We start from the raw sequence: 11849 nt of genomic DNA, 5'->3' as shown, positions 1-11849 counted from the left end.
TTACCTGACATAATCCACAAAATGTAGAAAAGGTAAAAATATAAGCAAATAGTTTTTTTTCTTTCTTTTTTTTTTTTTGAGACGGAGTCTCGCTCGTTGCCCAGGCTGGAGTGAAGTGGCACCGCCATCTCTACTCACTGCAAGCTCCGCCTCCCGGGTTCATGCCATTCTCCTGCCTCAGCCTCCCGAGTAGCTGGGACTACAGGTGCCCGCCACCATGCTTGGCTAATTTATTGTATTTTTAGTAGAGACGGGGTTTCACCATGTTAGCCAGGATGGTCTCGATCTCCTGACCTCGTGATCCACCTGCCTGGGCCTCCCAAAGTGCTGAGATTACAGGCGTCAGCCACCACGCCTGGCCGGCAAATAGTTTTAGAATCATCTCTGTGAAACTGATCTCATGAGCCTAATTGGTAAATTTGCTTTTTATATTTGTATTGATTTTATATTCTTATAGATTCATATAGATTTTAACATATCTGAGAACACAAAGTTCTGCACAATACTTACATGTCTTGCTTACATTAAGTATTTAATCAATAATTGTTAATAAGTGAGCAAATGAATGCAATTTGGTTTACGAATACATGCATATATTGGCACTCCACTTTGACACATTTATTATAAATGTATTTGTCGATATGCCTTATGTCAGTTATTTCATTCACATAGTTGAATTATAACCATCCCAATGCCCAAGCAGATTTCAGAAAAATGTAATGGAAAAATATTTCAGAATGACTCTAAAGTGTCTTTAGAACTTTGATTATTTTAAGTCTTGACAAATGAATTGGTGATTACATTCTATCTTCACAGCATAATTTATAATAATGTTCTTTGTTTTTTTTTTTTTTTTTGAGATGGAGTCTTGCTCTGTCGCCCAGGCTGGAGTGCAGTGGTGCAATCTTGGCTCACTGCAAGCTCTGCCTCCCAGGTTCACACCATTCTCCTGCCTCAGCCTCCCAAGTAGCTGGGACTACAGGCACCTGCCCCCACGCCCGGCTAATTTGTTGTATTTTTAGTAGAGATGGGGTTTCACCATGTTAGCCAGGATGGTCTCGATCTCCTGACCTTGTGATCTGCCCGCCTCGGCCTCCCAAAGTGCTGGGATTACAAGCGTGAGCCACTGTGCCCGGCCTATAATAATGTTCTTAACTAAAAATATTGCAAAGCCATTTCAGATATCAAGTTTAAAAGTTTGATAATTTCTTTCCACAATCTAATAATAAAAAACACTACAAGTTCATTTTGTAATTATTTTTTAATTGCATTCTCTGTGTTCTATCAGCCAAATTACTACTGTAGATCAGGTTTCCATCCATCTGGACAAATTCAACTGCTTCCTAAGAAGTGTCTTAATTCTGCAATACTTTCCTCAAATCAATCTATTCAGCAATCAAAGCAATCCATTTAATATTTAAATCTGATTATATCTTTTCTATTGTTTAGTAAAACACTCAATGCCTCTGAATTGTCTACAAGATTAAAGTCAAAATATTATATATGAAACATAAAGCTTTCATGATTTGATTTCTACCTATCGCTCCAGTATAATCTCTTGCTACTTCCTGGTTTTTAGTTTAAATTTCAGAAATAACTCAAATTATATATTTTACACAACATACTATCAATTTGTTGCCACTGCATCTTTTCTTATTCTGTCTCACAGCTAAAAATTACTTACAATTGTCTGTGTGATTTGCCTACGTAGACCCTACTTTCCTTTTAAATCTCTGTTTGTATGCTCTCTTTCCCAGGAAGACTTTCTGACTCCATATTATATTATGTGTCATTACCTTTCTTAACATTCTACAGGATTGATTTTATAAGACTACATTATAATAACTTTTTAATACATCTGTACCTTCCATGAGATTGAAAGTTCCTAAGGATCATTAAATATGTCTCATTATGCTTTTTACTTTTAGTGTTAACACACTGCCTTGCACATTGTAACCTTTCAACAATTCATTATTGAGAGCATATAATTTTGCAAAATTAATGCTGTATAAGCTTGATATTTGATAGTTTCTCTAAAGTAAAACGCTTTATCAGTCTATCATAGTATTGTAAATGTGAAAGGTTTAAGAAGTATATAATCACTATTTCATACTTTAACAACTTTCTTAGAAGATTTACTATAAAAGAGACTACAAATTTCAATATCTACTGCCTCCCATCTCCTTTCAGGAATAGAAAAAGCAAAATTATCTAATGAAATAATAGCAGATTTTAAGAAATTCTAAACAATTTTGGGAGACATCTTTAAGAAAATATTTCAGAAACATCAATAGCAATTAGTTATAGTCAATGTTTAAGGTGCTATTTATGAGTATAGATAATCCATTGTTTGCAAAACTATTTAATATTGAGTATGTTTTTTTGGAATACACATGTAAGCTTTTATAAATTTTTTTTGTTATGCTTGTATGGTGAAAATGGTGAAAATTCCTTCGGTAATTTTTTAAATGTAACTGAAAGCTCTTCAAAGTAATGAGAAAAAATTCTGAATGAAGTTAATAAATATGAAAGAAACAATACTCAATTGAGAACATTTAAGTAAAAGCATACTGCTACATGAGATTGTTCTAAAGAAATGGAATCTTTGAGTTTGATAGAGGAGGCATTTAGAGTCCAACTAAGAAGATAGAAATGGAGGGCCTTGGAAGAGAAAAAACACCCATGGAACCACACCTGCACCATTCCTGTTAGGTAGCTAGTGGGAGGAAATGTAGTTAAGAACTTCCTCTTATGCCAGGATGTTTGCTTAGAAGGGACTGTTCCAACTTCAGTACAGGCACAATAAATCAACTAAATATCCTTAACTTGATCCAGAGCTAATTGCAATATCATTAGTATTTGGTTCACCACAGTTTTGCCTGCCACCTCTGTGGGTTTCACTTAGGCACTCATGGATAATAACCAAGATGGAGTCCCTATGGCCAACCCCAGACATGCTCAGATGCAACATCCCCAAGGGGGAACTATACCCCTCTCATTAGGGCAGAACCCACAGATGACTTCCTTGTTTTTGTCACATAGAAGTCCCAGAGCTCAGCCCCATTTCTGGCAACCCACTATTGGGTCCCCTCTGGTTGTTGAGAGCTTTTCTGTCATTTAACTACTCTGCCTTACTTACTCTCCGGTGTCTATGTGCCTTATTTTTCTTGCTCATGGGACAAGTACTTGGATCTAGCCAAACTAAGGAGTAAGAAAACTACCACAAGATCACAACCTAGAAATCTTTGAGACTGTTTTAAAATGTCTAAATAATTTATTTCCTTATAAATTAATATTTTTTCTCTTGTCATCATTTTATAAGCAGAACTATTTTATTTTGCTTGTCTGCTAAGCATTGTTGCCATTTGAAATCAAGGGTGAATGTTATTTAAATAGTGAAAATAAGTTTTCCAAAAGTCTTCATAATATGCTTTTTAAATTTGTAGAAATATAATTAAATGATCTTTGTGTTTGGATAACAAATACCTTATAATAGACAAGCCATTTTGACCACTAAGACAGATGTACACTCCTTAATGATTCTATTTTTAAATTTGATATCTGTTTTAAAATGTTTTCAAAAATACTTAAAAGTGTCTATTTATTTTATGAAATAATAAATATTTTTATATCTGCTTACATCACACTTAAAAAATGAAAATTACAGAGAACATTCTAGCTGTGCTGATATTGAGAGAACTGCAGATTAAGTTAAATTTGTAACACCTTTTTAGGTCAGATGATCACTTTCGTTTTACAAACACACATAAAATAGCTGCTTAACATTTTAGTACCATTGGATAGAATACTAATACATTAGACAACAGTGAGTGTTTTTAAAAGTGAAAAACAAATTGAAATAAAGATTAATTTTACCTATTTCTGACCTTTAATTAAATGCAATAATAAAGGATATACTCTCTTGTGTTTGGCTTCATCTACTCAACTTGATGCTTGCAGGATTCATCCATCAATACACGATACATATACCAACAGTATGCTTCTCTTTCATTGCTGTATGGTATCACTTTGTAGTATATACACTACACTTTATCAACTCTCCTGATGAGTAGACATTTGGATTGCTTCTAGTTTTGCATATTGGTTTTGCTAAACCATGTTTGGTTATTAACATTAGATTGTGTTGCCAAATCACTTTTAGAAGTGATTGTACCTACACTTTTAGCTGCTGCCTCTGTGGTGGCAGTCACTCTCAAGTACCAGCAGCACCTCTACTTCTGTAGCCAAAGAAAAAAGACATGGGAAGCAAGTGGGTTATTCATACCATGGGCCAAGCCAACTGCCTGCAAAGCAGTTAGCTACAAAAGTTCTTTGCAAGAGTTTTTCTTGTGAACCCTGAAAATCTGCGACAGGTCTCAGTTAATTTAGAAAGTTTATTTTGCTAAGGTTGACAACGCATGCCTATAACAAAGCCTCAGGAGGTTCTGATGACATGTGCCCAAAGTTGTGAGAGCACAGTTTGGTTTTATACATTCTAGGGAGACATAAGACATCAATCAACATATGCAAGATGAGCATTGGTTCAGTCTGGAAAGGCAGTGAAACTTGAAGTAAAGTCAGGAAGACTCAAAGTGGGGAAGCGGCTTCCTGGTTATAGATAGATAAGAGACAAATGGTTGCATTCTTTGGAGTTTCTGATTAGCCTCTCCAAAGTAGGTGGTCAGATATGCATTTATCTCAGTGAGCAGAGGGGTGACTTTGAATAGAATGGGAGGCAGGTTGGCCCTAAGCAGCTCCCAGCTTGACTTTTCCATTTAGCTTAGTGATTTGGTGCCCCCAAGATTTATTTTCCTTTCACAGTCTGCTATTAGAAACATGAAGAAACCTTAGTACAATGACACAATTATTATATCAGGAATTATCAAACTTTTCCAAAACTTCTGATTTTTATAAACTCTCTAGCCTCTGATGCAAACAATTGTACAGGTCTTCAAAAGATAACTGTGCTTCCTTAATGCAGCTACTTGTAATGTGCAGGAACAAGTGAAGCCTAACAGTCTGATCTGTTAAAAAATATTCACCTGACTTCTATCCACGCAAAATATATAATTATGTCCCCTAACATTTAGAAACATTACACATAAGTGCTGCTTATGGTTCAATTTGATGGGAAACATACATTTTGTTGTGAATTATTTATTGGTAATTATAAACACTAGGTATTTTTTTCCCATTGGGTTGAAACTAGAGGACAGAATCAGGTTTTTACTAGGTTTTCTTTATTATTTTTATTTGCATGAGGATATTTAATATCATTTCCGGGACATACAATCCAAGTAAAAGTGTTTCATTGAACATATGTCAGCAATTCAATATTAAAACAATTATAAATAAACCTTGAAATTTCCTGCATTTGGATGTTTATAACTGAAGTAAATTATTTTTTGATGTTAACTAGATGATGTTTGCAGCCTTTTAAAAAAAAATCACATGATGGATAATATCCATTCACAGTACATGTGTAAATAAATTTTTCTACATGCAGGAACATATTTTTAATGTTATTGGTCTTCTGCTTCTTTCTGTTATATTTGCTATCAAAATGTATTTCACTGTCTTTAAGCAAAGTGATGATACTAATGAGACAGCCAAATGACTAGGCAGATAAAAAGGGGGTACCCAGAGAATCTCCGACCTGCTCCACAAGGGTTTACATCAGGTGCTTTTGTGCAGATGAGGAAACCTGCCCAGGGCTTGTCTGGGCATGCCCACAGCAGACTGGAGCCCGACATGTGCACTGGGGAAAGTGGGTGGAGCCACAGGGAATTTCGCGCCTTGGAGTTCCGGGGAGTCTGATCGCTTTAGTTCCTTTGTGGTGGCTTGGGATTCAGTCTATGAGGTCGAGGACCTGTTAACAGGACTACCATGTCGTTTTGCTGAGACTTTTTCTTTTTTCTTTTTCACCAAATAAAACCCTGCTCTACTCATCCTTCAATGTGTGTGCCTAAATTTTCTGATCATGTGACAAGAACCTGGGTTTTAGCTGAACTAAGGAACAAAATTCTGCAATACTAATTTATATCTCCACTGGCAGTGTGTGATTGTTAGTATTCACAGCCTCGCATATGTTGGTTCTGGTTTCTTTGTTGTTTTTAGTTTCTTAATATTTTGTTTTTGTAATTTTGGCCATTGTCGTGGGTAGATAATGGTATCTCATAATTTTTGTTTTCATTTCCCTGATAACTGATAATGCCGACCATCTATTCCTTTGTTTGGCTCTTTTTTTTTTTTTTTTTTTTGGTGGGGGGTGGACAGTTTCTCACTCTGTTGCCCAGGCTGGTGTGCAGTGGCACAATTATGGCTCACTGCAACCTCTGCCTCCGGGGTTCAAGCTATTCTCCTGCCACAGCCTCCCAAGTAGCTGGGATTACAGGCACAAGCCCCCACACCTACTAATTTTTGTATTTTTTGTAGAGACAGGGTTTTGTCATGTTAACCAGGCTGTTCTCAAACTCCTTACCTCAAGTGAACTACCTGCCTTGGCCTCTCAAAGTGCTTGGATTACAGGAGTGAGTCACCGTACCCAGACAGCTCTTTTTTGAAATACCTGTTTAAGTCTTTAGCCCATTTTTTCCCACCAGATGTTCTCTCTATACTTTTTTACTGCTTTAACAGTTATTTATATATTCTGGATAAGAGTGGTCTGTTTAACATATGTACTGTAAACATATTCAATTTCCTGGCTTGACTTTTTAGTCTCTTATTATTTACTTTTGATGAAGACACATTTTTCATTTTAAACTAATTTATCAAATTTATTATTAGTACTTTTTGTGTCTTGTTTAAGAAATTCTTGGCTTCCTCGTTTTATTATTTATCTTCTAAAAGCTTTATTGTTTAATTATATAATTCATCAAACATTATTTTCAGTGTATCTGTAAGTGATCATCTTTTTTCCATATGTATATCTAATTTAACGAACAGCATTGATTGGGCAAACCATCCTTTACTCAGTGCGTTTTGGTGGTAGTGTAATTCAGGAGGCCTTATGAGTTTGTGTCTGCTTCTGTACTCTATTTTAATCCATTGCCATATTTGTCTCCAAATCATTATTATAATTTCATAATCCTGTTCATGGTCTTTTCTTAATTGACACATAATAATTGGATATATTTATGGGGTATAGTAAGATATTTCAATACATACATATATGTGTAATGATCAAATCAGGGTATTTAGCATTTCTATTATGTCAAACATTCATCTTTAATTTATGATGAGAGCATTCTTCTATTTTGAAGTATATTAAATAATATTGTTAACTATAATCTCTTTTCTGCACAACAGAACACCAGCACATAGTCCTCCTATATAATTGTCACCCTGTCCTCATTAACCAATCTCTTCACATTCGTCCTCACTCCTCCTTGCCCCAGCCTCTTGTAAGCATTATTCTACTCTCTTCTATGATATCAACATTTTTACATTTTGGTTTGAGTGATACCATGCAGTATTTGCCATTCTGTGACTGGCTCACTTCACTTAACAAATGCCTTCCATGTTCATCCGTGTTGCTGCAAATGACAAGATTTCATTCCTTTTTTACAGCTGAATAATATTTTACTGTGCATATAAAAACCCTCATCGATCAATTGACACTATATGTTGGTTCCATATCTTAACTACGTGAACAGTGCTGCCATAAACATGGGACTGCAGATATGGATTTGATAAACTGTTTTTATTTCCTTTGGGTATATACCCAGGAGTGGGATTGCTGAATCATATAGTAGTTCTATTTTTTAATTTTTTGAGGAATCTCCACACTGTTTTTATTGTTGCCATACTAATCTGCCTTCTCCTTTCTCCTCATCCTAACAGCATTTATCTTTTGTGGTTTTGATAATAACCAGCGTTCTCTAGAGGGATATAACTAACAGGATAGATGTATATATAAAGGGGAGTTATTTAGGATTATTGATTTACACTATCACAAAGTGAAGTCCCACAATAGACCATCTGCAAAGTGAGGAGCAAGGAAGCCAGTCAGTCACAAAACCTCAAAAGTAGAGAAGCCAACAGTGCAGCCTTCACTCTGTGGTTGAAGATGCAAATGCCCCTGGCAAACCACTGGTGTAAGTCCAAGAGTCCACAAGCTGAAGAACTTGGAGTATGATGTTCAAGGGCAGGAAGCATCCAGCATGGGAGAAAGATAAACCTGGAAGATTTAGCCAGTCTAGTCCTTCTGTATTCCCCTGCCTGCTTTTATCCTAGTTGCAATGGCAGCTGATTAGATGGTGCCCACTCAGATTGAGGGTTAGTCTGCCTCTCCCAGTCCACTGACTGCAATGTTAATCTCCTTTGATAACACCCTAAGGAACAATACTCAGGAACATACTCAGGACATACTCAGGAACAGTACTTTGCGTCCATCAATCCAATCAAGTTGACATTCAATATTAACCATCACACCATTCTAATTGGGTGAGATGATATCATCATTTTGATTTGCATCTTTCTAATGATCAATGATGTCAAACATTTTTTAAATGTACTTAGTAGTCATTAGTATGTATACTTTTGAGAAATGTCTATTCAGATTTTATCATATTTTATTTATTTATTTATTTTGGAGACAGAGTCTCCCTCTATTTCCCAGGCTGGAGTGCAGTGGTGCAATCTCAGCTCACTGTAACCTCTGCCTCTTGGGTTCAAGCGATTCTCCTGCCTCAGCCTCCTGAGTAGCTGGGACTATAGGTGCGTGCCACCACACCTGGCTAGTGTTTTTTGTATTTTTAATAGATACAGGGTTGCACCATATTGGCCAGACTGGTCTTGAACTCCTGACCTTGTGATCCACCCACCTCAGCCTCCTTATTTTATTTTTAAATCAGATTACTTGTTTTTTTTCGCTATTGAGTTTTTTGGGTTTGTTATAGATTCTGGATATTTAACCCTTGTCAGATGTACAGTTTGCAAACATCTTCTATTCTGTAAGTGTTCTCTTCCTTCTGTTGATTATTTTCTTTGCTGTGCAGAGGCATTTTAGTTTGATAACATTTCGTCTATATGCTTTTGTTGACTGTGCTTTTGAGTTCTTATCCAAAAAATTCTTGCCCAGATCAATGTCATGAAGGATTTCCCCTGTGTTTCCTTCTAGTAGTTTTATAGTTTCAGGTTTTACCTTTAAGTCTTTATCTTGAGTTGAATTATTTTATATGGTGAGAGATAGGGGTCTAGTCTCATTCTTCTACATGTGTTAAAAATCCAGTTTTCCCAGAATCATTTGTGGAAGAGACTGTCATATCCCCAGTATATATACTTGGTGCTTTTGTCAAAAATCATTTGTCTATAAGTTCATAAGTTTATTTCTGGGTTCTGTATTCTCTTTTATTGATCTATGTGTCTATTTTTATGCCAGTATCAATCTGTTTTGTTTACTATTGCTTTGTAGTATATTTTGATGTAAAATAGTGTGATGCCTTTAGCTTTGTTCTTTTTGCTCAATATTTCTTTCACTTTTGGTGTCTTTCATGGTTCCATACAAATTTTAGTGTTTTTTTTTTTCTATTTTAGCGAAGTATGTCATTGGTATTCTGATAAGGTAAATTGTGTAAATTGTGTTGAGTAGTATGGGACATTTTAACAACATTAATTCTTCCAATCTATGAACATGGGATGTCTTGCCATTTATTTGTTTGTCTTAAGTTTGTTTAGTTAATGTTTTATAGTTTTTCTTGTAGAGCTTTTTCAACTCCTAAGTTAAAACTATTCCTAGATCTTTTACTTTTCTCTAGCTATTTCAAATGGGATTGTTCCTTGATTTATTTTTCACATAGTTTATTATTGGAATATAGCAATGCTACTAATTTTAGCATCTTGATTTTGTATCCTGCCATTTTACTGAATTTGTTTATTCTTCTAACAGTGTTTTGGGGTTTGTGTGGAGTCCTTAGGGTTTTATATATATATATACACATATAGAATCAGGTCTTTTGCAAACAGAGACAATCTGCCTTCCTTCCTTCCAGTTTGGATGCCCTTTATTTTTTTCTCTTGTGTTATGCTCTGGCCAGGACTTTCTAGCACTAGGTTGAATAAAAGTGGTGAAAGTGGGTTGCCTTGTCTTGTTCCAGATCTCAGATCTCAAAGGAAATGTTTTCAGTTTTTCCTATTCAGTATGATGCTAGCTGTGGCTTTCTTATATATGGCCTTTATTATGTTGATGTATTTTTTCTACAACCGTATGTTGAGAGTTTTTATTGTGAAAGGATGTTGAATTTTACTGAATAGCTTTTCTGCATTAAATGAAATAATTCTGTAGTTTTTGTCTTTGATTCTGTTAATGTGATGTATCACGTGTTAATTTGCATATGTTGAACCAATCTTGCATCTCTAAGATGAACTTGATTATGGCAAATGACCTTTTTAATATGCTGTTGGTTTTAGTTTCCTAGCATTTTGCTGATAATTTTTTCATCCTTATTTATCAGAAATGTTGGTTTGTAGTTTTGTTGTTGTTGCTATTATGGTTGTGCCACTGTCTCATTTTTGTATTAGGGTAATGCTGACCTCATAGAAAGAGTTTGAAAAATTTACCTCCTGTTCACTTTTTTGGAATAGTTTGAGTACATTGGTGTTAGTTCTTTAAATGTTTGGTAGAATTCAGCCATGATGCCATCAGGCCCTGGGCTCCTATTTGATGGGAGACATTATTACTTATCTTATTATTCATTATTGTTCTGTTCAGCGTTTTTATTTCTTCTTCATTCAATATTAGTAGGTTATATATGTCCAGGAATTGTCCATTTTTTCCAGATTTTCCTCTTAATTGGTATATAGCTGTGTATAAAATCTCTTATCCTTTTTACTTCTGTAGTATCACTTGTAATATTTCCATTTAATTTCATTTTATTTATTTGTCATCTCTCTTACTTTCTTAGTTCATCTAGCTAAAGATTTGTCAATTTTGTTTGTTCTTTGAAAAATCAATTATTACATTGATTTTTGGTATTATATTTTTAGACAATAAAAATACAATTAAAGATATTTCTGCTCCGATCTTTTTAATTTCTTTCTTTCTACTGATTTTGAATTTAGTTTGTTCTTGTTTTTGTAGTTCCTTGGTGTGCATTGTTAGGTTGTTTATTTGAAATCCTTCTACTTTTTTGATGTAGGTATTTATTGCTATGAACTTCCATCTTAGCACTGCCTTTTCTGTGTCACATAGGTTAGAATATGTGTTGTTTTTTTATTTTCTTTTGTCTCACAATATTTTTTAATTTTCTTTTTAATTTCCTCATCTACCTGCTGGTCATTCAGAAGTTTATGTCTCTTAATTTCTATGTATTTGCAGTTTCCAATGTTCGTTTTGTTATTGATTCCAGTTTTATTTAGTTGTGATCAGAAAATACACTTGATACGATTTTTATTTTTTGAAAATTCACTGAGACTGGTTTTGTGGCTCAACACATGATCTATCCTGAAAAATGTTCTCTGTGCTGTTGAGAAGAATGTGTAATCTTCAGCTGTTAGGTGGAGATTTTCTGTAAATATCTGTTAGGTCCATTTAGTCTAGAATGCAGAAATCTGAGGTTTGTTGATTTTCTGACTGGATGAGCTGTTCATTGATGAAAGTGGAGTAAATTAATTAAAAAGTAATTAAAATCTTTTACTATTATGGTATTGCTGTCTATCTCTCCCTTTAGTTATACTAATATTTGTTTTGTATATTTAGATGCTCTACTGTTGTCTGTATGTATATTTAAGACTGTCATATCATCTGGCTGTATTGAACCTTTATCATCAGATAAAGGACTTCCTTATCTCTTTTTTCAGTTTTTGAGTGAAAGTCTATTTTGTCTAAATCTTGCTACCTCCATATTTTT

The 11849-nt window shown here is 34.7% G+C and overlaps 1 annotated feature.

Moving 5' to 3' along the window:
* Positions 4983-6182: an enhancer, noted in NCBI's record as "MED14-independent group 3 enhancer chr2:186432447-186433646 (GRCh37/hg19 assembly coordinates)". NCBI's record gives its function as "activates an origin of replication core promoter dependent on BRD2, BRD4, P300/CBP and CDK7 cofactors, and independent of MED14, by STARR-seq in HCT116 cells {active_cell/tissue: HCT116}" and the evidence as "EXISTENCE:reporter gene assay evidence [ECO:0000049][PMID:35650434]".

Source organism: Homo sapiens, chromosome 2 (assembly GCF_000001405.40).
Source record: "Homo sapiens chromosome 2, GRCh38.p14 Primary Assembly".
NCBI classification, from domain to species: Eukaryota; Metazoa; Chordata; class Mammalia; order Primates; family Hominidae; genus Homo; species Homo sapiens.
Note: the sequence above shows the minus strand (reverse complement) of the source record. Positions and strands in the feature narration are given on the sequence as shown.